Source organism: Homo sapiens, chromosome 17 (genome assembly GCF_000001405.40).
Source record: "Homo sapiens chromosome 17, GRCh38.p14 Primary Assembly".
In the NCBI taxonomy this organism is placed as follows: domain Eukaryota; kingdom Metazoa; phylum Chordata; class Mammalia; order Primates; family Hominidae; genus Homo; species Homo sapiens.
Genome location: NC_000017.11, coordinates 26,935,981 through 26,962,398, shown reverse-complemented (window position 1 = coordinate 26,962,398; position 26,418 = coordinate 26,935,981). Strand labels below are relative to the sequence as shown.

The following is a 26,418-nucleotide window of genomic DNA, read 5'->3' as shown; positions in this document are numbered from 1 at the left end:
ATAGGAAAAGTGCAGTCGAAGACAAAAAAAGATGTAAATAGGCTTAACTTAGTGCAGCTAAGAACCCAGATGTTATCTTGAGGGTATTAACTAATAAGCAGTTTAAATCAGAATGGCACATTCTGATTTGTTTTTTGTATGTTCACATTTGGCAGGCATAGATACTGTTTGAAGAGAGGAAAGTCAATAGATAGAGGTAACAAACTTAAATATGTGCCAAGTCTAGAAACAAGAGACTAAGGGGATAAGGACTTTTCAAAATAAAATGCAAGATTTGAAAACTGATTGGCTGGGGGATGAGGAAAAGGCAGGTCTTTAAGGTCAATCCCTGTTTTGCTTTAAGTTGTTAGGGGGTGGTTTTATCACATATTATAGAATATGTCATTTCAGTTTTGAACATCTTGAGTTAAATTGTCCTAACATATCTTATGAATTTGATTTTCTTCCCTGGGAAGCTAATATTTCAAAAACTTAAAGAGTATAGATTTCCAACTTGTGTCCAATTTATAAAATTATCTCTAGGCTGCTGGTTTCAGGAGGAGGCTCATGAATATTCTATTTGCAGAGAATATATCAGGAGTTAACAACAGCATCAATATTTGTGGACGACCAGTTAACTAAGCCACCTCTTAGTGTCTTTAGATGGGAAATCTTAGCTGAAGATATTCAATAATGAACCAACAGTTACTAAAAAATTCAATATTTAAGTATATTTCATTGTAATTAATTTGAAATTAAGTAGCCAAATACAGCTAGTATTTACTACATTGAACAATGCAAATAAGAGGACAAAATTAATAACCATCTCTAATACCACATGCCAAAATCCTCATCAATTTATTCTAGCTAAAGGAGTTTATCAGAAGCAGCAATTGAAAGCACCAACTAAACCAGCTGGGGTTAATTCACTGTCATTCTCTCAGAACCATCTATTCTCTGAACAAAACAAGTAGAAGAGTTAATTGTGAATCTCCATTTTCCTTGCCTATTTTAAGGTTTTGATGTTGACACTAATTTGTGAAATCCTTCCTGTGGGGTGATATTTCGTTTTCCTTGCTTTTTGTTAGGACAAGATTGCTTCAGCTCTTAATTTAAAATTATGTTTCTCCCTCCTAGGTTGAGTGAACTTAGAATGCATTCTCTGACATATCCAAGTTTTTGTTAATATGAATTTCGGGAAAAAAGCATACTAAATTAGCTAAGACTCCTTATTCTAGGCTTGACCCTGTGTTCAACATCTTTTGAATTTGTAGTTGCATAGGCTGCTCTCTGACACTGGTTAGTGATCTGGAAGCTATATTAACGTTAGGGGAGGTGGTGTATGAGCATTAGGGGTATCCTTGCAAGGAAAGACTTGTCTTATCTCAATACGTCTTTTTTTTGCACACAAGAAAGTCAATGTTTGAGTCTTCTAAAATCTTCCTATTTCCAAGTTGCAAAGTACCATCAATTCCTAAACAAAGATCTAATTTTTGACTCAGAGACTTGGCAAGGTAGTGAATCACCATTATAATTTAACAATCTTCAAGATAAAATTATCTCTCTGATATTTAGAATTTGCCTAATTATGAAGATATTTGGGTGTTTCATTAAGAATGGAAGACTCTAGTCTCTTGAGCAGAGACTATAAAGGCCTCAGATGATCATTTATAATTTTATGCTCTTTTCTTTAACACCTTCAATACAGTTGGAAGCAGCCAATATTCCCCAGAGTTGTTGTGTTTTTTAAACCAAATGCATGGTTCAGTGGTAGAAAACTGGGCTGATCCAAGCTGTTTTCAGTAAACACTTCATTTCAGGTGACCTATTTCATATTAAATAATCTCTAGATCCTGTCTTCAAAACTAACTAGATCAGATAACCTACCCTAGATTTTCCCCTTTTAGGGTCTGTTAGCTGCAGTCACTTTTGTGAAAATGATTGCAATGAAAAGATAGAGTTGTAGATGGGGAAAATGTTTTGACTAATTTAAGCATAATGGTATTTAATATGAGAAGTTAAGTTATACACATTTGAAAATTATAATGGAGTCTCTTGCCTGAGCTTTAAAAAAAATAGCATTTAGGCTAAAAAGGGAACTGCTACCTCTCCTAAAATCAGAAAGATGTTACAGTAATTCTCCATTCTCTAGAATTATCAGGAAGCACCTTTGTGATGATTTTGTTCTTGGGAGTGTGAGCCTGTGTAGTCATGGAGCCATCAATTAGAATGATGGCTTTCTGATCCCAAAGTCATTTGTTCTGAAAACAATATTTTTCATAAATTTGAAAGTGAGAAGTTTTGATCTTGCCATTCCCAAGTAACTCTCTTAATAAGAGGCATCAGCATGCTTCAGTGACAGCTGTCACCTTCCAGTGCTGAGGGTCATCTTTGAGTTCTCCATTTCACTCCCTACACTCCAATTTAGCTGCAGTTCTCTTGGCCAGTCCTATGAAATACATCCATGGCCTAACGACTTCTCACCACTAATACCACTCATACTAACAGCATTCTCACCTAAGTCACTACCTTTTTTCTCTGGATTACAGTAGCCTCCCAATTTATTTGCTCACATGACCTACTTATTCTACACAGTGCACCAGATACACCCCTTTGAAATGCAAACACAATCATGTTATTCTCTGGTGAAATTATCTCATATATTCCTATCGCATTTAAAATTAATTAAGAATCATCCCATGATTATCAAAACCCTACATGCTCTTCCACAACATGGTTTACTTCCAAGATATCTCTTCAACTTTTTTTTCACTGTACTGAATTGGTGCCTAATAGTCATATTTTTGTTTTTGCTCAAAAAGTCTTGACTTGTAAATTTTTCAGATTCTCCTTTATCCACAGGTAACTCTTTCCTCATAAGGTGAATTGCTTTCTCCCTGAGATCTGCTCTCAAAGATACCCTTCATTTTCTACCTAATATTAATAACTTTAATCATTCATTATTCCATTACTGTGCTCTGTAGTGTATACCATTTCTGTTCTTTGTCATGTTATTAACTAAATTATTTATTTGTTCCAGTAACGTATTCCATAAATATTGTACACATAAAAATTATGTTATTTTCATTGCTGTATGCTCAGCTGCCCAATAACAGTTTGAGGATTAACATATTTGTTAAATGCACAAATACATTCTTTCACAAATATTAGTTTAATAATTTTATATTAAACTCCCTATATACTTACAATATGAATTAGATAATTCAGAATAAACATTCCATTGGAAAAAACTAAACAATTTGTTATAAAACATCCTTAAAAGCATCAGAAAGTTAATACAGCAACAAAGAATTACAGGACCAAATTAAGAATGGTATGGAAGCCTGTTTGTGGGGCTTATGTTTGGGTTATCTCTTTACTTAGAGTGACTATAAATCTCAAAAGAGAACTAAAGGGATAAATAACCATATGTACTAACATGGTAAGGGTATTTAAACATCTCTTAGTAATTGAGAAAATTGAAAGAAAAAAGAGAAAGGGAGAAAGAGAAACAGAATGAAAGGGATAATGAAGGAGAGAAATAAGAGAAAGGAAGAGGATGAAAAGTAAAGAGGAGGGGGAGGGAGGAAGAAAGAAAGGTAAAAAGAAAGAATGGTAAAGTTTTTAACAACATAATTTAACTTTCTAGAATATGAATGTTGGTCTATTTGATGATGTCCCACAGATTCCTTAGTCTCTGCTCATTTTTTATCTGTTTCTCAGAGTGAATATTTTCCATTTTCTTATCTTCAAGCTCATGACTTCTTCTGTGTGTGTGAATATACTCTTAAATCCTTCTGGTAATTTTTAAATTTTTATCATTGTTGTTTTCCACTCCAGAATTTCTGTTATCTCTTTGTTGATAGTTCTACTTTTTAATATTTTTTCTGATTCCTTTATTTCTTTGTTTCTGTTTTCCTTTTGACATTTGAGTATAATTAAGAGAGTTGTTTTAAAGTCTTTGTCTAGTAAGTTTGATGTCTGGGTTTCCTTAGAGATATTTTCTGTCAATTTATTTTGTTCCTTTGAATGAGCCATACTTTCCCATTCTTTGTATGCCTTGTAACTTTTTGAAAACTGGACATTATAATAATTATAATTACTATGTGGTTACTCTGTAAATCAGACCCCCCCCACAAACACACTAATGTTTTGTGGTTTTAAGTTTTATTTACTTATTATTGTTAAGGTTTTAATTTTTAGTGAAATTTTCCAAAGTGATTTACAAAACTGTTTGCTTTATAAGGTGTGGTCACTGAAGTCTTTTTGTTTCCTTAACAAATGTTAAGCTAATGTTTTGACAGTGATTTTATTGTATGTCAGGAACTAAGCAAACAGGCAAATACAACAAAAAAAGAAAAACAAGGAATCATTATCCAGCAAAATATGTTTCTAGGCCATGCAGACTGGCTTTGTGCTGGGTTCTTTAATGCCGGCACAAAGTGTGTGTTCACTCTTGCACTGAGTGAAGTTCAAGTTCACACTTGCACAGAGCTTGCACTGAGGGGAGGGATCAGCCAAGGTAAACGTGTAGGGTCTTCTTATGACATTTGTCAGCATGTGGCTAAACCTATGCATACATGTGAATTTCTAGACACTCCCATGTCCGTGAATGATTTTGAATGTCTTAGTTTTCCAAATACTCTTCTCCAACTTTTCTTCCTGTGCTGAAGGTGATCTACTATATGTGTAAACTCTAATTTTTGCCCTAAGCATCTGTGGTTTGTTAGGTCTCCTTGCAGAGTTTCTTAATAATGTCCATTCCTTATCTCTTCTGTATTCTAGCAACACAGAAAAAAAAAAAAAAAACCTTTCATTAGTCCTTTAGGTATCCCCCAGACCAGTCAGAACAGATACATAATAATTTGTGGGTAAGATCTTCTCTTGTTCCTTTGAACCATGGACCAGGGTTCCTCACTGGGAACGTGGGCTTCTGACACTTCAAAACTGCCAATTTGCTGGGGCAAAGGCAAGTTAAAAATGTCATAAAGTTTTCAAGTTGTCTTTTTCTTGAGTGTGCTTTCACTTGGTTGTTGTAATCTTTTGACCATTTTCCAGAGTTTTGGAAAAGTTTATTCAGACAGTTTCTCTTAGTTGTGTGATGTTTCTGTGGGGAAATGAAAGATTGCAGCTGTCTCCACTGCCATTTTGCTGATGCTCCTCTTTTGTCAATTTTTGCTTCATGTTATTATGCTTTGTTATTAGCTCATGTATTAGTTTTCTAGGGCTGCCATAACCAAGTAACACAAACTGGGTGCCTTGAACAACATACATTTATAGTCTTATAGTCCTGGAAGCTGAAAGTCTGAGATTGAGGTATCAGCAGGGATGGTCCCTTCAAGGGCTATGAGAGAAAGTCGGTTCTATGCCTTGTTTCTAGATTCTGGTGGTTTAGTGGCAGTCTTTGGCATTCCTTGGCTAATCTCTGCCCTCATAATCACATGGTACCCTCCCTGTGTGTATGTCTCCCTCTACTCAAATTTCTTCTTTTTATAAGGACATCAGTCATATTGAATTCAGGCTCATCTGATTTTATCTTAACTTGATCACCTGCAAAGAACCTATTTCCTAATGAGGTCATATTCAGTGGTTAGGATTTCAGCATCTATATAGAGGAAACAATTTAGCTCCTATCTGTGCATACATGATTGTAATAGCTATGTCTTCCAAAAGCGTTGACCCCCTTATTACTACAATATAAATTTTTAAAATACTATTCACATTTTTAATAGTCTGTATCATGTGTTATGAGTATAATGAGTTCAGTGTTCTTATGATTGCTCTTTGCATGATATTTTTTGTCATCTTTTTACTTTCAATCCATTAGTATCCTTGCATCTCAGTGTATATTGGGATCACTTGTTTTAATCCAGTCTGACAATCTCTGCCTCTTGATTGGACTTTAATCTGCTCACATTTAATATTATAATTGGTATAATTCTATTTATGTCTGCCTTTTTACCGTTTGTTTTGTATATTTCCCAAATATTTTTCTTTGTTGCTTTATTTTGCAATGAGTGAATATTTTCCAAAACAGGGAACTTTAGATTGCTAATGAATTATTTTACTATATATTTTTGAGAATTTTTGTTGTTGTTGTAAGTTTACCATATAAGTATATGGAAAATTAATTATTCAAATCGTCTTCCAATTTATACTAGTAAACTTTTAGTAATACATAGAAACATCATTCTTTTACAAATCTCTTTTATTTCCTCCATTTTAAAGTATTATCACTTTACACATTACATCTATTAAAGTTACAAAGCCAACAATACATTTTAGTAATTATTACTTTACCATCCAGAGGGATTACCTTAACAATACATTTTTCTTCCAACTACCTCCTTTTTGATGCTACTGGAAAATATGTTATAGACATGTTACATTTCTACATGTCAAATATTCAGCAATACATTATCCACATATTATTATTATTATCATTGAGACGGAGTCTCCCTCTGTCTCCCAGGCTGGAGTGCACTGGCACAATCTCCGCTCACTGCAAACTCCATCTCCCGGCTTCATGAATTCTTCTGCTTCAGCCTTCTGAGTAGCTGGGATTACAGGCGTCCGTCATCACGCCCGGCTAATTTTTTGTATTTTTAGTAGAGACGGGGTTTCACTGTGTTAGCCAGGATGGTCTCGATCTTCTGGCCTCGTAATACACCCGCCTCAGCCTCCCAAAGTGCTGAGATTACAGGCATGAGACATCGTGCCCGGCCGTTATACACATATTATTTTATAAACAATTTATGATAAAGAGAAAACTTGCATTTATACTGTCTTTTATAATGTTAATATTACCTATACCAGTGCTTTTTTAAAAATGTGGATTCAAATGACAGTCTTGTGTAACTTGCTTTTAGCCTTAGGAATTTATTTTAGTTTTTTTTTTTTTTTTTAATATGGTAGGTCTGCCAGCAACAACTTCAGTTAATATTTCTGTTTATCTGGGTAAGTCTTTGTGTTATCTTCATTTTTGAAAAATAATTGCTGGATAAGGAATTGGTGGGTGACAGTTTTTTTTTCCTTTGCATATTTTGACTATATTATTCTACTGCCTCTTGCCTTCCATTGTTTCTGTTAAGTCAGCTGTTACTCTTAAAAAGCATAGGTGCTCAAACAATAAACATGTGCATGAATATTTACAGCAGTAATATTCATACAGTCAAAAAGTGGAAACAATCCCTATGCTTGTTGACTCATAAATGGACACCCAATTTCCAGCTATAACAAAGAATGAAGTACTTATACATGGTATAATATGGGTGAAATTTGAAAGCATTATGTTAAGTTCACAGAAGGACAAATATTACTTGATTTTATTCACATGAAATATCAGGAATCGGCAAATCAATTGGGATATAAATCAGATTAGTGGTCATTAGGGCTCAGGGAAGCAGAATAGGGTGTAACAACTTTATGCATAATGGGTTTTTGGAAAGGACATGATGAAATTGCCCTGGAACATTGTGAATATACTAAAAGCAATTGCATTGTATGTTTTAAAATGGTTAAGTTATTAATTTTATATTATGTGATTTTTGCGTTAAAAAACAAAAAAGAGAAAATAGCCTTACTCTATATACAAAAAACTCAAGATGTGTTATAAATTTATATGTGAAATCCAAAATACTATAATACTTAAGGAATAGCTAAGTAGAATAACACTAAAATTTAACGTAATGAAATATTTCCTTAAAAAAGAAAAAGGCACAGTAATTAAAAAGGGAAATATAGTTAATATTTTTTCTCTCCATTAAGCATGCCATTAACTGATTAAAAAATCAATCTGCAATTATGTAAACTACATTTTCTGAAACCATAAAGAAAATAAGAAATGAAAAGGGATTTGGGAAAAAAATCCAAAGGTACAGTCGACTACACAAAAAAAGCTTAGTCTCATTAATCATTATGATAATGCAAATTGTAACTGAAATAAGATAAAACTACAATTCAAAGAGAAAGCCTAAAATTTCAACCCCCCAAAAATTCTGGGTTTTGCAGAGCTGGGATGGAATAGGGCTCCTAACCTTACAACAATGTAATAACCAAACTAACTTCAAAGTCATGCCTTTATTTTTATAGCAACCAGGTTGCCAAGAACTGAGTCAAAATGTGAGGGAAAGCAAGCATCTGCAAGGCGAAAGAGGACAGATGCACTTACATAGGACGGATGCAAATAGACACCACTATGACAAGTAAAGCTGGAATAACCAATATATTCCTAAGGACAAAGTGGGGCTGGTCAGATTGGGAGACGGCTGACAGCTGCAGAAGTTGGGAAAGATCCATCATCGTGAAAACTTTTTCCCTACAAACCCACTGCGATCTCTCAAGCAATTGGTAAGGAATCCAAGAGAGTCTGTATATGATACAGATCAGGGAGAGCAGAACACTTGGGAGGTGACCAGCTCTTGGGGGCCGAGCCCTTATGAATGGGATTAGTGCCTTTTTAAAAGAAGCTCAATGGAGTTCTTGTGTGCCTTCCACTATGTGAGGACATAGAAAGAAGGCACCATCTATGAACCATGAAATGGGCTCTCATCAACACTGAATTTGTGAGCATCTTGACCTGAGATCTTACAGCCTCAAGAAGTGTGAAAAAAGTAATATCTGTTGTTTTTTAGTCACCCAGTTCATGTTATTTTGTTATAAGAGTCCAAATAGACCAAGATATTCCACTTAATATGTAGGGGAAGGTAACAAAAACTGACACAACTAGAATACTCCTGATGCTGGAAGTATGAAAACAGGAAAAACAAAACAAAACTGCTCTTGAAGGTGAAGGAGGAATATCACTGAGCTCACCAACACAGCCAGGAAAAGAACAGAAGTGTGAGAAGTCTACATTCCTGAGATCCTGAGAAAAAGTACCTGCATAAGACTGAGATGAAATTACCTACCCTAGTTATAATTGAAATCCCAAAAAGAAAAGAGGAAAAAATACTGGAGCAAAAGAAATATTTTTCAAAATAACTGCCAAAAATATTCTAAAAGAAGTGACAGAAAATCAAACTTCAGATATAGGAAACTCAGAGAATCTCAAATAGAACAAAAATAAATAAGAATTACATCTTGGAAAATCTTTAAAAAATCAACTCTAAATTTTATATCTTGCTCCAAATATATAGAGATATAAATAGGTTATCATCAAGATATGGAGAAAGCCATATCATGGAAACACTAAAATAAAGCTGTGGAAGGACTACATTGATATTAGACACAACAGAGTTCAGAACAAGAAATAGTATCAGAGATGAGAGATAATAGATAATATAATAATCAATTCTCAAGAAGATGTAAACATCCTACTAATTAGGGTATGCAGCTAACAACAGAACCTCCAAATACATGAGGTAAAACAAGAAAGAAATCAAAGGTGAACTAGAAAAATCCAAAATTATATTTGCAGACTTCAAAACTTTTGTCTTAGTAAGGGACAGACTAGGCACAAACTCAGTAATCATATGGAAGATAAGAACAATATCACCAACAAGACATCCAATCTTCAATGGCAGGTACTCTTTCCTTTCAAGTGAAAAAAAAAACGGTATGGCATATTCTCTAACAAACCCAGAATTTCTAATGTTTGCGGTCTTCCTTCCTTCTCTCCATCTTCCTTTCTCTTCTCTTCCCTTCCCTTCTTCCTTCCTTTCTTCTTTTCCTCTTTCTTTTCTTTTTCTTTTCCTTTCTTTTTCTTTTTTTCTTCCTTCCTTCTTTGCTTCCTTTCCTCTGATTCTTCCTTCCCTCCTCCCTCCCTTCCTTTGTCCCTCCCTTCTTTTCTTCCTTCTTTTCTCTTATTCTTTCTTTCTCACTTCCTTGCTTTCTTTCCTTTTTCTCCCATCCTCCCTCCCTCCTTTTCTTCCTTCCAGCCTCCCTTCCTTTCCTCATTTTTCCTTCCTTCCTTCCTTCCTTTTCCTCTTTATTTTCTTTCTTTGCCTTCCTCCCTTTTACCATTCTCTCTTCCTCCTTTCCTTCCTCCCTTCCTCCTTCCTTTCTTTCTTTCTCACTTTCTTTCTCTCTCTGTCTCTTTCTTCTTTCTTTCTTTCTTTCTTTCTTTCTTTCTTTCTTTCTGTTCTTTCTTTCTTTTGTCTCCCTTCCTGCCTTTATCCCTTCCTCCCTCCCTCCCTTCCTTCTCTCATTTCCTCCTTCTTTTCTTTCTTCTTTCTTTCTTTCTTTCTTTCTTTCTTTCTTTCTTTCTTCTTTCCTCCTTTTTACTTTCTTTCTTTCCTTTTCTTTCTTTCTCTTTACTACAATTCATATTATTTAAAAAAAATTAAGACAGGGATGAAGAAAAATAAAGAACACTTTAATCTGCCAGTAAATAGATTATGTCTGCTGTAGACAAAAAGATGGCCTCCCAAAAATGTTCATGTCCTAATTCCCAGAGTCTAGCCTACAAATATGTTAGGTTACATGGCAGAGGAAAATTAGATTTCAAGTGAAATTAAGGTTGCAATAAAATGATGGAGAGATTATCTTAAATGATTGGGATCAATGAAATCACAAGCTTCCTTATAAGTGAAAGAAGAAGGCAGAAGAAAGGCAACCATGGAGGTGGTGGCGTAAGAAATTACTCAACATCACTGACTTTTAAGATACAAGAACAAGGACCCAGCTTGGTGGCTCAAGCGTAATCCCAGCCCTTTGGGAGGCTGGGGTGGGTGGATCACGAGGTCAGGAGATCGAGACCATCCTGGCTAACCTGGTGAAACCCCATCCCTACTAAAAGTACAAAAAATTAACTGGGCATGGTGGCACATGCCTGTAGTCCAAGCTACTCAGGAAGCTGAGGCAGGAGAATCGCTTGAACCCGGGAGACAGAGGTTGCAGTGAGCTGAGATCTTGCCACTGCACTCCAGCCTGGGTGACAGAAGGAGACTCTATCTCAAAAAAAAAAAAAAAAAAAAGAAAAAGAATGAGGTCATGTTCCAAGGAATAAAGGTGGCCTCTGCATGCTGAAAAAAATAAAGTACATAGACTCTGCCACAGAGCCCTCAGAAAGACTGCAGCTCTGCCCAAAACTTGATGTTAGCCCTGTGAGTCTCATTTAAGGCTTCTGAACTCCAGAACTGTAGGCTTAACAGTCACTTTATTGTAAGATATGAATTTCGTGATAATTTGTTACAGCAGCAAGAGGAAGTTTATATAGTAATTGTATCATGAAAATGAGAACCATAATTTACAACTGCTTTTAATACTGCACTTGGATGTTTGAAATCCAGTACATGGAAATGATCTCTGTGTATGAGGGAGGATAGCAAATTGATGCCAAAATAACGCAAATGCAATCTTACACTCTTTTCTATGTAGGTTTCATTTCATCTTTGAAATTAAAATGAAATTAAAGAATTATGATATTTTGATGAGATTAGACTAAAATGAACAATAACGAAATAAGAACTTACTTGTATTTTTTATATGGTCAACAAAGAAGTGATAGTGGAAAAAAACAAGGTCAAATGAAGGTGATGATTTAGGAAGTTGGAAAGATAGCCTAAACTACAAAATGGTATATAACTAGTGAACACTTAGACACACTGATTGATGAACTTCAGCTTTTGCATTGGTGAGAGCATAAAATGAAAGCAGCTGAGGTTTGCAAATTTGCAATCTCCTTGTGGAAAAACAGGTGAAAACACATCTCAGCCTAATAAGATTTATCTACTAAAGAGTCAAGACTTGATCCATTTGTCCTTGTAATTCAAAAGCTAATTGAAATACTGATTTGATATATTGTGTGAACAACCATTGCTGATTATCATCGCATACCTACCATTCGCTTTTATCTGATATCTAAAATATTTGGTAAGTCCTGGACTTTCTCTTTTCAAACCCAGTACGGTTTAATTTCAATCTTAGAACAGTTGTCTTTGAGAAATTCTTCCCTCTACTGCATCAGTGAATGGGCATAGCATGGTTACATACATACTATCACCACAGAGAACATTTGTTGAATTAAAGCCAAAGTTTAAAGCAACAGCTTTAACTCACTGGTTTTACTAATGTTTTCCTCCCCAATAGCCACAACAATATTGATACCCTCACACCTTTTAACATAAAGCTTGGTGTTGTCTATTTTTCAGGTGCTGTCATCTATATGATCTCAGTATTTTAAAAATCAGCTTCCAGCCCATATGGTGGCTCATGCTTGTAATACCAGCAGTTGAAGAGGCTGAAATGAGAGGATTCCTTGAGCCCAGGAGTTCAAGGAGTTCAAGAGAAACCTGGGCAACATGGCAAGACCCAGTCTCTATCAAAAGTTAAAAAAAAAAGGTGGGCATAGTGATGTGCACCTGTTGTCCTAGCAATTTGGGAGGCCAAGGTGGAAGGATTGCTTGAGCTTGGGAGGTTGAATCTACAGTGAGCAGTGATTGCACCACTGCACCCCAGCCTGGGCAACAAAGCAAGACCCTATCTCAAAAAATATATATAATAAAAATAAAAATCAGCTCTTATTGATTTCTACATAAATATGCACAGGTGATGTCCATGTAGACATAAATACTAATATATCTGACAATGGGTCCATATGATCTTCAAAATGTAAAATGCCTATCTGTGTAATTGACTGCTTAGTCTCATTAATGTATATAGATTCAATTCTACTTTCTTGTTCTAGATAAATTATATAATCTAGCTTTTCATTTCACTTATTTACTGATAACAACAGGAAGAATGACAAGATATCTACTCTGGAAAATTACTCTGGTAGGAGTAAAGATGAAACGATAGAATTGCATGGAAAACTAGAAAAAAGTATGGTCTTCTGATATTCTATCACATCATATACAAAAGGCCTCATAAAACTCAGATATTTTATCTAAAAATGTTATTTTCATCTTAGGGATGATCAAAGCATGAGACTAGAATTGTATTACAATGACTCTCACAAGCACATGTGCTAAAAAGGAGGGGAAAACATCATTACTGATATTTTATACGTATGTTTTACTTTCCATCAACATGAACCTCAACTTGATATGATGCAGATTGAAGGAAATCACCCATAATTCCATATGAAGAAGGCCTGTGATATTTTATGGGAAAATAGATAGAGAAAATGCTAACAGAAACCCTATTAAGCATTAAGATTTATGGAGCAAATACAAATCCAGTGGTGAAAGATACACACTTGAGTTCTGTTTGTTGTCTTGGAACAATATGGTTTAGAGGTGACTGGTGGGTGAGGAGAACATATGCAAGTTCACCAAACAGAAAAGCTGAATGAGGCAATGCCTCTTCCTGACCATATCTCTTACTCAGATACCTATATAATTTATTGTCCAGTAAAGGGTATATTTAAAAATCATATTAAAAGTCATGCAATGTAGTTGTCCAGGGAAATCAAGACTTAACAGTCTCACTTTGACAATAATGAATAGGGGGATTCCCTCAAGATAGACTAGGACATGAGCCCACACTGGCAGGTAGTAGTACCAGAAAAGAACCCATGGAAAATCTTTACCTTATGCTTGAGATAGGGACCAGGCTAAAGTGAAAGCCAGATATAAAATTTTATCTAAAATATATCCACAATCAAAGAAAATATGTGGTGTGCAGGCATAGAATGTCTTTACTGGATCATTGAAATAGTAAGATAAATTCAACTTTTTACATTGTTTTCTTTTCCTCCAGTTAGGGCTTGAGGTTTGTCTCTGGAGAGTGGCTGTCAACTGGAGCCCTGCCTTTCTGGGGTTCTGGGCAGGGGGTTGTGGATGCTTAACATGTGCCTTTCACAGGACACTTCCTTACCCCAGCAGTGGCCAGGTGTGCATTCCACGACCAGGCCTCCCTCTCACAGAACATCTGTTGAGACTAGGAGATGCCTGGTGACTGTTGCCTGACCTGTGTCCTGTGTATTTCTGACAAGAGCCACTCTCAGAGACCCTGGCCAGGAGGAGAGTTAGGTTCCAGTGTAGGTCAGCTCAGACACATTGAGGCCACAGGACCAAACATGGGAAATCACAGAAGTGGTTTTATTACTCACAGATCCAGAGAGAAGAGGGTAGCTGAGAAGAGGGTTTAGCTGTGTCCCCAGCCAAATCTCATGTTGAATTCCCACATGTTGTGGGAGGGAACAGGTTGGAGGTAATTGAATCATGAGGGCAGGTCTTTCCCATGCTGTTCTTCTGATAGTGAATAAGTCTCACAAGATCTGATGGTTTTATAAAGGGGAGTTCCCCTGCACAAGCTCTCTTGTCTTGTCTGCTGCCATGTGAGACCTGCCTTTCACCTTCCGCCATGATTGTGAGGCCTACCCAGCCATGTGGAACTGTGCGTCTATTAAACCTCTTTCTTCTGGAAATTACCCAGTCTTGGGCATGTCTTTACTGGTGGTGTGAAAATGGACTAATACAGTAGCACACCTCATAGGGCTGAACAAAATGGGGAAGACGAGTGGGGAGCAAGAGAGAGAAAAGGGGTCTGTGGGACTCCAGCCTTTATTGGGCCCAGAACATAACCCAAATAAGATTTCCACGGGGCTATAGTCAGTGGGGTGAGTGCCAGCAGGCATATTTCTTGGCTCCTGCTGCAACTGAGCAGGTCACTCTGGCGTTTGGGAGCTGTCCATGTGGGCTGTGAGGTCTGTGGGGTGAGTCAGGTAGGTTGTATCCAATGGTTCCATAGCGGGTAGTCACCAGGAGGAGGCAACTGTGTAGGGTCAATATCTGGGCCAGCCACACTGAGGAACTGTGAGGGTTAGAACTGGAAATTGTCAAGGGAATCTGAACCCAGCTACCATATGAGAGAGTTCAACTTACATTCAATGTGAATGCCATGGCAATATTAAAAGGTAAGAATTCGCTCCATACGTGCTTGAGGTAAATAGGAGAAACCTAGAATTTATGCAAACAGTAAGAAGTTTGGATGTGTTTTCTGTCACATATTTTAATACTAGCAGCATATTATATATGTCAATCCATCAGGCATTCAGAAATACATGCTTATGAAAATTTTGTGCACCATCAGACAAAAGACAAGGGTAGAAGACAATTTTAACCCTATAAACACTAGTAAATTAAAAACAGAAGGACCTTTATGTCCTAATATATCTATATTGTGAAAGGCTGCCCTGTGAAATACGGGATTTCTTAAACATATTTTAAAAATCATAGGTGTCAATACTTTTTAGAAATCCATTTAAATTTTCTCTTGCTACTTTACAATGCCTATTTGTTTATTTAGTGGTTTTGCTGGTTTTGATGTATATCCTAAACTTTACATTTTCTTTAAAGTATGTTTTATACTACTTTATGTAAAATGTTTCAGTATCTTCACATTCTCTCCCTGTCCTTTTGTTTTGCTCTTATATGGTGGCCTTGAGTCTTTTCTCTGGCTTTTCAAACCTAGTAAGACTAAGACACTAAAGTAACTTTGCCCGTGGTTTGGTAATGCCTTCTAAAGCACGTCCTAAGCTCTCGTGCATACAGGGGTCTCCTTTGAGCTCTATGCTTTTGAGATCCCATATACCTAAATTCCCGTACTCCAAATCAGTACTTCTCAGTTTTAGTTACTAAGTTTAAAAATGTATTTTAATAGCAAGTTAGTTGAGTGCACTCTTACTTCTTTCTTTGCTGCTGGTATACGTGTATATTTCCTTAAATGAATCTTGGAATTTATTTAAAAATTTTAAATTATACTAATGAAACTGTATATTGTTGTGAATTCATAGGTGATTTTGGAAAGAATTTGTCTTTATGATACTAAATCCTTTTTATCGAAGAATCATATGTGGCTTTATATTTATTCCAGCCTATATTTATATCACTGAGTAAGTATATAGAAATGTAGATACATACAGCTGTAGTCATAGATAGATACAAATATAGATATAACATGTTAAATCTATATCTATCCCATATAACATATATACATGTTATATGTGTGTGTATATATATATATATGTTTGTGTTATTAAAGAGCTCCCTTAAAATTTTTCTTATATTTCCTATATAATTTTAGGTTGAGCTTGAATTTTCCTTGTATAAACAAGCAAATATTTATACTAGTTTTAATACTGAGATTTAGACATTCTATCTTATTTTAGCACTGAATATTTTCACAATTATTATATTATCTAATAAGAATGTAACTGTTAAAAATATTTAAAATTTTACTTTTGAATTATTTTATTGTTGAATTTAAATTCCTTTAAGTATGATAGTAAATTGCTATTTTATGCTTTCTCTATGAATATGCAAATTAATCTATCCACTTCTCTATCTCTATGTAGTAACATATGAAAATCAAGCCTCTCTTCTTCTAATAGACATATACATGTTTGCATATAGAATATCAGACTCTTTATAGCATTTAAAATCTTTAAAGACATGAATATTACCTTTTAACAAATATATTTTAGCATGTACTGAGAATCCCCTATTTATTGTTTATTTGGGGTAATCAATATGATTATTAATATTATTGGATCACCAAATTTGGAATCACACTTTCATCCCCAAGGTGGATATTTGTTTTTATTTTTGCCAATTTCTTGTCTTACTGTTTCAAATATTGTTGGATATTATTTTTATTTTATTTGGCATTTTAGTATCAATATTTGTAAGTGATGTACTCTACATATTTTTTCTTCAATATCTGGTGGGTTTTATAATTACTGCTATATTGGATTTGTAGTAGACATTGACAAAAATTATTTCTGTATGTTTTATAGCTGTATGAAGGAATCCAATGTATTTTACCCCGAAATATATTTCCTTGATATATTTCAAAATGGCTATTCAGAAGGGCTGGAAATGCAAACTTAGCTGCAAAGCTGTCTTGGGGAGATTTGCATCTGTAGAGAATCTACTTTGATGCAGCCAGGCTTTCTCTGAGGTCTGCTAACTTGTCTGGATCTGGGAAAGGTTAGCTGAGCGTCTGAGGTCTCCAAAGGTCTGAAAGAAACATTTTCTCTCTATTCTCTCTGAGGACTGCTCCCAGCGAGGTTTCACCCACGTAATAAGTCCACTGTTGCTAGTCAGGGTCCTTTTCTCACATAACCTCTTTTTTTTCCCTGTGATCCAAGACCCCATTCTTTCTGTAAACTTCATGTGGTAGATAAGCTTCTGCACCCATCTTGTGTCTGGGTCTCCATTCTAAGGGCTCCAGTGTACACACATTGCAGAATCCTGTATGCCTTTTCTACTATTTATCTGCCTCTTATTAGTGATTTTCAGGGAAACTTCAGAAGGCAAAAGGGACATTCTCCTTTAGCCTATACTCAGACAAAATCCCCCAACATTTAACTGATTCCTAATAACTTAAAATCACTTTGAAAAATCCATATCTTTATAACCTTTTTCTTCCCTCTATGATTTCTGGTCAGCTTGGGTTTTGTTTTTTATTCCATTTACTTCATCCTCGAAAAGATCTATTTTACGTCTATTTATTCTCATTTATTGAAATTGAGAAAAGAAAATAACTTTCATGTGAGAAACGCAAGTCCTTTGAAATAATCAGGCCCAGAGAGTTATTCAAATGAGACAGCAGTTCTGTCCTGCTCCTCTTTGAGCTGTGTGTTCATCTAGGCTGCTTGCTGTTGCCACAGTAGCTATAAATTAACCAATGATGCCACACCAGACACTACAATCCACACCCAATAATAGTGTAACAGTCACTAATAAATGTTATTTCCATAAGCCAATGAGAATTTGTGACAAACCTCTTTGCATCATCCCACTTCTTATCCCTTTTTTGCCTTTAAGAAACTGCTTGTTGCAAAGCTCCAAATGGAGTTCATATCCAAGGATACTTGGGTCTGTTTCTTCCAGGCAGCTGTCCTCATTTTGGCTCAAGTAAACTCTTTGAATTGCGTTTTGTGCTTCAGCCTCTTCCACTTAGATTAACAACATGCATTTGTGTCACCATGTACAGCAATTAAAATGTTTACACTTTTCCCCACGAGGGCACTGATGTGTTTTCCTGAGCACTTGGAATAGCTACATAGTGTTTGCTTTCTATATTATGGTTTCTCAACCTTGGTGTACTTACCTTTAGGACCAGAGGATTCTTTGTTTTGGGAGGCTCCCCTAGCAACGCTAGGTGATTCGTTTGACCTCTATATTTCACACCTCCACCAGTCTTGACATCCCCACAATAACCCTAGACATTGACAAATGTCTCCTGGGGAAAACTCTCCACCGGTTGACAGCCAAAGTTCTTGAAATATTGTAATTGTCAATTGAGTTTTTATGTTATACAAAACAAATATTTTTCTTTGTTTTTAAACATCTACCTCCATCTACTTATCTACTTATTTTTACTTTTATTTGTAACTTAATTCCATCAAGGAGAGAGTGCATTTTCTGTTATGCTAAATTTTTGAAGAATGTATTGATTTTTTATGACCTGATATAAGGATGATATGTAGATATTACATGTTTGTATTATCAAATTTCAGGGCGATAATAAAATAAATACTTATAATATTTATATTGTCACTTTATATTAGTTATTTTCTTTCTTCACTACAGGAGTTTTTCAACCTATAGGCTATTTTTCAATTCTAGGTTATCCAGTAGATTTTGAAATGTTATGATTAAATATCTACTTCTCAAGCATTCATCTTTGCAAATGAATAAATCCCAAGCTCTTATAATGCACATCATATAAAGAGCAGATTAGTCAATATATGGTTCAGAAACAGTTATGTAACATCTATAAGAAAATTAAAAATTTAGATCCTTAACTCAGATAACAATAATCCAAATTAAAATTTGATTTCATTACATAATTTAAAATGACACCAGAATACTAGTAAAAATATAGATAAGTCTATATAATCCTTTTTAGCTGTAGGACTTTAATAGCATAAATTCAAATACAGGAGCCAAAGTAAGATTGAGACCTATAGTCAAAGGTTAAAATGTACACATTATAGGGGCATGATTAATCTAATTTAAAGCATAACATGGAGAAATTGCAAAACATACATGTTACTGAATTAATTGTTAATATCTAATCATTAAGTGAGAACAAAGGTAAAGAGTAGCTACACACACACACACACACACACACAAGTGCAGTATTGTCAAATAAATGTGATGTTCAGCTACACTAGAAATCACACCTGTGTTTTCTCCACAGAAGAGTAAAGATTAAAAATCACAATAATATTTATTGTACATATGGAGGTAAAGATACACAAAATATTACCCTAAAATACTTTTTTTTTTGAGATGGAGTTTTGCTTTTATTGCCCAGGCTGGAGTGCAATGGCACAATCTTGGCTCATTGCAACCTCAGCCTCCCAGGGTCAAGTAATTCTCCTAGCTCAGCCTTCCAAGTAGCTGAGATTGCAGGCATGCGCCACCACTCTCGGCTAATTTTTGTATTTAGTAGAGACGGGGTTTCACCATGTTGGTCAGGCTGGTCTCGAACTCCTGACTTCAGGTGTTCTACCCACTTCAGCCTCGGAAAATGCTGGGATTACAGGGGTGCGCCTGGCCAACTTTTTGATATATTTCAAGATGGCTACTCGGAAGACTGGAGATAGCTTCTTCTACAAGAATAGCTGAAAAGCTGTGTTTGTTGGGGAGATTTGCATTTGTAGAGAAAATCTGCATTGATATAGACAGGCTTTCCCTGAGATACTCCCTTGTCTGTGTTTAGGAAAGATTAACTGAGTCTGGCACGTTTACATTTCTAAAAACCATTTCCTATCTATACTTCCCAAGAAGAGGGCTGCTCCCTGTGAGGTTTCATCCGTGTAACAAAACCACCTCTGCTGCCAGGCTCCTCTGTCTTCCTTGTCGTCACTTGTCTTCCGCAAAGACTGATTCACCAACGTACAGGTCTGTGTTTTCTGTAACCTCAAGACAGCATAGGCGTGTTGACTACCTTGCCTTTCCTGGAGTTTTTATATATATAGTATATATTTGTATATCTATTTATAATATACAAATATTTGTATATATATTTATATATATTATGTAAACTCCAAGTGCATACTTGTGCACATATCTGTAAACCTTTTTTTCTGTTAATTTGAACATTATCAGTTTGTTTTATAGACTGAAATAATTAAAGCTTCAAGGGAAAAATTTAAACTTTCCTATAGAGAAAATATAAATATATAGGTGACAAATAATATTTAGAGTGTAAGACGCTTTTTAAAGGTATATTTGCAATTTGTGTCAAAACATTTAAATATACATTTGTTACTTTATAAAATTTCAAATAATTTAAGCTAAATACATAGTATATGCAGAAAATTTAGCAATATTTGTATGTAGCACCTTACTGTGCATTACTGTAACCAGCTGTCTAATATAAAGAACTAATTAAGGTAGCACTTACTTTTCAAATATCTCATTTTTTTCACAGACCTATTAAATAAGACAAATAACATATAAACTTTGTTTTTAAATTTACAGAATAGTAGTTTTCAGAAGATGGTTTATTTTAGCAAATTCCATCTTCCATTGTGCTATGCTTTTATGAGTACCAGCTGTGAACGGATAATATTTTACAGCTGAACCTATCATGTGTGATATAATTGCTCATTATGTACCTTAAAACACAAGCAATATAGTTATTTTCAACTTGCAGCAGACTAAAATCTTATCAGCCATTTAAAAACTCTAGAGCTGTCTTCTTCTGGTTAATTATTTTAAACTTGTACTTTTCTCTCTATGTTTTTAGTGAGTTGTCTTATCAAGGAGAAGAACTCAAGCTGATTATTCTTTTTTTTTCTCTTCCATCCACCTCACAGGTGTGTTTATAATTTCATTTCTCAGAAAATGTTCTTTCATATCCATCTTACAAGATGAGAGAGCTTTTAAAATCTTCCATTCGGATGTGATATGAGTAATGAAAATATTCCAGCTTCATGAATATGGTGATACAAATAGTTATCCGTCTAACCTCTTTCAGTGCCAAATGTATACTTTAGTCAGTGAATTACTCAGTTGACTGGTAATTTCTTCTGAAATCACAAATGAGAGGATCAGAGGTCTGGCTGTTGTCTGTACCGCACATGACTCCCAGTGCAGACAATTGTATCTATGGAGCACAGACAGTTGAAAGGATTGACTTCCTGCCTAGAATAGTTTCTGTTGTGCTTCTTATCCTTCCTGTGGAGATTTCAGATTATCTGAATTGCTTTTCTATCTTAAGAAAAAACTTAACAATTCTGCCACCTGAGAGGAATGTAAACTGTAGTAAGGTAGCAGAACCAATCCGTAAAGTTTTTACATTGTTTTTTGTAAAATGCAGCTTTGGTGTCTCCATCACTAACCTTTTCTATCCCTCATTGCTCTTTCTTTGACTGCAATAGGATACCTCTAGGCAAATCTGTATTCCCGAGACAGAGTGCCGTTTTGGTTAGCTATAAGCACACTCAATGGTAGGCTGAAATACTAGATTTTATCTATGGCGAAATTCCATTCCACTACACTCCATTCCACTACACTCCATTCCACTACACTCCACTCCACGCTATTCAATTCAATTCCACCCCATTCCATTCCACTTCATTCCACTCCACTGCACTCCACTTCACTGCATTCCATTCCATTCCACTCCATTCCATTCCACTCCACTCCACTCCATTCCACTTCATTCCATTCCATTCCAATCCACTCCATTCCACTGCACTCCACTCCATTCCATTCCATTCCACTCCACTCCACTCCACTCCACTCCACTCCACTCCATTCCACTCCATTCCACTACACTCCATTCCACTCCACTCAACTCCACTCCACTTCAGTCAACTCCATTCCATTCCAATCCATTCTATACATTTCCACTCCACTCCACTCCATTCGATTCCATCCCATTCCATTCCACTCCATTCCAGTCCACTCCATTCCACCCCACTCCATTACATTCCGTTCCATAACAATCCATACCACTCCATTCCACTGCACTCCAGTCCAATCCACGCCACTCCACTCCACTCCATTACATTACATTCCATTCTAAATCCATTCCATTCCAATCCTTTCTTTCAACAGGATCTCACTCTATCAACCAGGCTGCACTGCACTGCACAATCTCAGCTCACATTTCATTTCACCATTCCATTCCATTGCATTCCATTCCATTCCATTCCATTGCATTCCATTCCATTCCATTCCACTCCACTCCACTCCTTTCAATTCCATTGCTTCCGATTCCATTCCATTCAATTCCATTCCACTCCACTCCACTCCATTGAATTCCATTCCACCCCATTCCATTCCACTCCATTCCACCTCACCACATTCCATTCGATTCCATTTGATGCCATTCGATTCCATTCAATTTGATTCCATTCGATTCCATTTTTTTCCATTCGATTCCATTTGATTCGGCTCCATTTGATTCGATTCGATTCAATTCCATTTGATCCCATTCGATTCCATTCCATTCTACTCCACTCCATTCCACCCCATTCCATTCCACTCCATTCCATTCCACTCCATTCCATTCCATTCCACTCCATTCCATTCCACTCCATTCCATTCCATTCCAGTCCACTCCATTCCATTCCATTCCATTTCATTCCATTCCATTCTAAATCCGTTCCATTCCATTCCTTTCTTTCGACAGGATCTCACTCTCTCACCCAGGCTGGAGGGCAGTGCACAATCTCAGCTCACATTTCATTTCACCATTCCATGCCATCCCATTCCATTGCATTCCATTCCATTCCATTCCATTCCACTCCATTGCATTTCATTACATTCCACTCCACTCCACTCCATTCCACTCCACTCCATTCAATTCCAGTCCACTCTATTCCACTCCACTCCACTCCACTCCATTCCATTCCCTTCCATTATATTCCAGTCCACTCTATTCCATTCCATTCCACTCAATTCCTTTCCACTCCACTCCACTCCATTCCACTCCACTCCGCTCGACTCCATTCCATGCCATTCCACCCCACTCCATTTCACTTCTTTTCACTCCATTCCATTCCATTCCACCGCACTCCATTCCACTCCACTCCATTCCACTCCACTCCACTCCACTCCATTCCACTCCACTCCAATCTACTCCATTCCATTACATTCCATTCTAAATCCATTCCATTATATTCCATTCTAAATCCATTCCATTCCCTTCCTTTCTTTCAACAGGATCTCACTCTGTCACCCAGGCTGGAGTGCAGTGCGCAATCTCAGCTCACATTTCATTTTGCCATTCCATTCGATTCCATTCCATTGCATTTCATTCCACTCCACTCCACTCCGTTCAATTCCATTCCTTCCCATTCCATTCCACTCCACTCCATTCCACTCGACTCCACTCCACTCCACTCCATTCCATTACATTCCATTTTAAATCCATTCAATTTCATTCCTTTCTTTTTACAGGATCTCACTAGTTCGCCCAGGCTTCACTGCACTGCACAATCTCAGCTCACATTTCATTTCACCATTCCATTCCATTGCATTCCATTGCATTCCATTCCACTCCTCTCCACTCCGTTCAATTCCATTCCTTCCCATTCCATTCCATTTGATTCCATTCCACTCCACTCCACTCCGTTGAATTCCATTCCACCCCATTCCATTCCACTCCATTCCACTTCAGCGCATTCCATTTGATTCCATTCGATGCCATTCGATTCCATTCGATTCGATTCCATTCAATTCCATTCGATTCCATTTTTTCCATTCAATTCCATTTGATTCGATTCCGTTCAATTCCGTTCGATTCCATTTTTTCCATTCGATTCCATTTGATTCCATTCGATTCCATTCGATCCGATTCCATTTGATTCGATTAGATTCGGTTCCATTCGATTCCATTCCATTCCATTCCACTCCACTCCATTCCACTCCACTCCACTGCACTCCACTCCATTCCACCTCATACCATTCCACTCCATTCCATTCCATTTCATTCCATTCCATTCTAAATCCATTTCATTCCATTCCTTTCTTTCGACAGGATCTCACACTCTCATCCAGGCTGGAGTGCAGTGCACAATCTCAGCTCATATTTCATTTCACCATTCCATGCCATTCCATTCCATTTCATTCCATTCCATTTCATTACACTCCATTGCATTCCATTCCATTCCACTCCACTCCACTCCATTCCACTCCACTCCATTCCATTCCAGTCCACTCCATTCCACCCCACTCCACTCCACTCCCATTCATTCCAATCCACTCCACTCCATTCCACTAAACTCCACTCCACTCCATTCCACTCCATTCCATTCCACTCCACTCAATTCCAGTCCACTCCATTCCATTCTACACCTTTCCACTCCACTCCACTCCATTCCATTCCATCCCATTCCATTCCACTCCATTCCACTCCACTCCACTCCACCCCACAGCACTCCACTCCACTCCATTGCATTCCATTCCATAACAATCCATACCATTCCGTTCCACTCCACTCCACTCCACTCCACTTCATTCCATTACATTCCATTGTAAATCCATTCCATTCCATTCCTTTCTTATGACAGGATCTCACTCTGTCACCAGGTTGGAGTGCAGTGCACAATCTCAGCTCACATATCATTTCACCATTCCAGTCCATTCCATTCCATTGCATTCCATTCCACACCACTCCACTCCACTCCATTCAATTCCATTCATTCCCAGTCCATTCCACTCCACTCCATTCCACTCCACTTCACTCCATTCCATTAAATTTCATTCCACCCCATTCCATTCCACTCCCTTCCACTCCACTCCACTCCACTTCACCACATTCCATTCAATTCCATTTGATGCTGTTCAATTCCATTTCATTCGATTCCATTCCATTCCATTCTATTCCATTCCATTCAATTCCAATCCACTCCATTCCATTCCATTCCACTCCATTGCACTCCACTCCATTCCACTCCACTCCACTCCATTCCACTCCACTCCACTCCATCGCATTCCCTTCCATTATATTCCATTCCACTACATTCCATTACATTACATTCCACTCAATTCCATTCCACTGCACTCCACTCCATTCCACTCCACTCCGCTCGACTCCATTCCATGCCATTGCATCCCACTCCATTTCACTTCTTTTCACTCCATTCCTTTCCATTCCATTCCATTCCATTCCACTCCACTCCATTCCACTACACTCCATTCCACTTCACTCCATTCCACTCCACGCCATTCCACTGCACTCCATTCCACTCCACTCCATTCCACTGCACCCCACTCCAATCTACTCCATTCCATTCTAAATCCATTCCATTATATTCCATTCTAAATACATTCAATTCCCTTCCTTTCTTTCGACAGGATCTCACTCTGTCACCCAGGCTGGAGTGCAGTGCGCAATCTCAGCTTACATTTCATTTCACCATTCCATTCAATTCCATTCCATTGCATTTCATTCCACTCCACTCCGTTCAATTCCATTCCTTCCCATTCCATTCCACTCCACTCCACTCCACGCTAATCCACTCCACTCCACTCTATTCCATTATATTCTATTTTAAATCTATTGAATTCCATTCCTTTCTTTTGACAGGATCGCACTAGGTCACCCAGGCTGCATTGCACTGCACAATCTCAGCTCACATTTCATTTCACCATTCCATTCCATTCCATTCCATTCCATTCCATTCCATTCCATTCCATTCCTTTGCATTCCATTCCATTCCATTCCATTCCATTCCATTCCATTCCATTCCATTCCTTTGCATTCCATTCCACTCCACTCCACTGCACTCCGTTCAATTCCATTCCTTCCCATTCCATTCCTTTCGATTCCATTCCACTCCACTCCATTGAATTCCATTCCACCCCATTCCCTTCCACTCCATTCCACTCCACTCCATTCCAGTTCTCCGTATTCCATTCGATTCCATTCGATTCTATTCCATTCGATTCGATTCTATTCCATTTGATTCGATTCCATTCCATTCCACTCCACTCCACTCCACTCCATTTCCACTCCACTACATTACACCCCATTCCTTTCCACTGCCTTCCTTTCCATTCCGTTTCATTCCATTCCATTCTAAATCCATTCCATTCCTTTGTTTTCTTTTGACAGGATCTCACTCTCTCACCCAGGCTGGAGGGCAGTGCACAATCTCAGCTCACATTTCATTTCGCCATTCCACTCCATTGCATTCAATTCCATTCCATTCCACTCCATTTCATTCCATTCCATTACACTCCACTCTACTCCATTCCACTCCACTCCATTCCATTCCAGTCCACTCCATTCCATTCCACTCCACTCCACTCCTTTTCATTCGAATCCACTCCACTCCATTCCACTCCATTCCAGTAAACTCCACTCCACTCCATTCCACTCCACGCCATTCCACTCCATTCCATTCCACTCCACTCAATTCGAGTCCACTCCACTCCACTCCATTCCATTCCATTCTACACCTTTCCACTTCACTCTGCTCAACTCCACTCCATTCCATCGCATTCCATTCCACTCCATTCAACTACACTCCATTCCACTCCACCCCACAGCACTCCAGTCCACTCCATTGAATTC

The 26,418-nt window shown here is 37.2% G+C and overlaps 8 annotated features.

The window, feature by feature from the left end:
• Positions 21,197-21,874: an enhancer, noted in NCBI's record as "OCT4-NANOG-H3K27ac hESC enhancer chr17:25267551-25268228 (GRCh37/hg19 assembly coordinates)". NCBI's record gives its function as "activates a minimal SCP1, AML or CMV promoter by ChIP-STARR-seq in primed H9 embryonic stem cells {active_cell/tissue: H9 hESC(primed)}" and the evidence as "EXISTENCE:reporter gene assay evidence [ECO:0000049][PMID:30033119]".
• Positions 21,875-22,552: an enhancer, noted in NCBI's record as "OCT4-NANOG-H3K27ac-H3K4me1 hESC enhancer chr17:25266873-25267550 (GRCh37/hg19 assembly coordinates)". NCBI's record gives its function as "activates a minimal SCP1, AML or CMV promoter by ChIP-STARR-seq in primed H9 embryonic stem cells {active_cell/tissue: H9 hESC(primed)}" and the evidence as "EXISTENCE:reporter gene assay evidence [ECO:0000049][PMID:30033119]".
• Positions 22,553-23,230: an enhancer, noted in NCBI's record as "OCT4-NANOG-H3K27ac-H3K4me1 hESC enhancer chr17:25266195-25266872 (GRCh37/hg19 assembly coordinates)". NCBI's record gives its function as "activates a minimal SCP1, AML or CMV promoter by ChIP-STARR-seq in primed H9 embryonic stem cells {active_cell/tissue: H9 hESC(primed)}" and the evidence as "EXISTENCE:reporter gene assay evidence [ECO:0000049][PMID:30033119]".
• Positions 23,231-23,910: an enhancer, noted in NCBI's record as "OCT4-NANOG-H3K27ac-H3K4me1 hESC enhancer chr17:25265515-25266194 (GRCh37/hg19 assembly coordinates)". NCBI's record gives its function as "activates a minimal SCP1, AML or CMV promoter by ChIP-STARR-seq in primed H9 embryonic stem cells {active_cell/tissue: H9 hESC(primed)}" and the evidence as "EXISTENCE:reporter gene assay evidence [ECO:0000049][PMID:30033119]".
• Positions 23,911-24,588: an enhancer, noted in NCBI's record as "OCT4-NANOG-H3K27ac-H3K4me1 hESC enhancer chr17:25264837-25265514 (GRCh37/hg19 assembly coordinates)". NCBI's record gives its function as "activates a minimal SCP1, AML or CMV promoter by ChIP-STARR-seq in naive H9 embryonic stem cells {active_cell/tissue: H9 hESC(naive)}" and the evidence as "EXISTENCE:reporter gene assay evidence [ECO:0000049][PMID:30033119]".
• Positions 24,589-25,266: an enhancer, noted in NCBI's record as "OCT4-NANOG-H3K27ac-H3K4me1 hESC enhancer chr17:25264159-25264836 (GRCh37/hg19 assembly coordinates)". NCBI's record gives its function as "activates a minimal SCP1, AML or CMV promoter by ChIP-STARR-seq in naive H9 embryonic stem cells {active_cell/tissue: H9 hESC(naive)}" and the evidence as "EXISTENCE:reporter gene assay evidence [ECO:0000049][PMID:30033119]".
• Positions 25,267-25,944: an enhancer, noted in NCBI's record as "OCT4-NANOG-H3K27ac hESC enhancer chr17:25263481-25264158 (GRCh37/hg19 assembly coordinates)". NCBI's record gives its function as "activates a minimal SCP1, AML or CMV promoter by ChIP-STARR-seq in naive H9 embryonic stem cells {active_cell/tissue: H9 hESC(naive)}" and the evidence as "EXISTENCE:reporter gene assay evidence [ECO:0000049][PMID:30033119]".
• Positions 25,845-26,318: an enhancer, noted in NCBI's record as "OCT4-NANOG-H3K27ac hESC enhancer chr17:25262801-25263480 (GRCh37/hg19 assembly coordinates)". NCBI's record gives its function as "activates a minimal SCP1, AML or CMV promoter by ChIP-STARR-seq in naive and primed H9 embryonic stem cells {active_cell/tissue: H9 hESC(naive and primed)}" and the evidence as "EXISTENCE:reporter gene assay evidence [ECO:0000049][PMID:30033119]".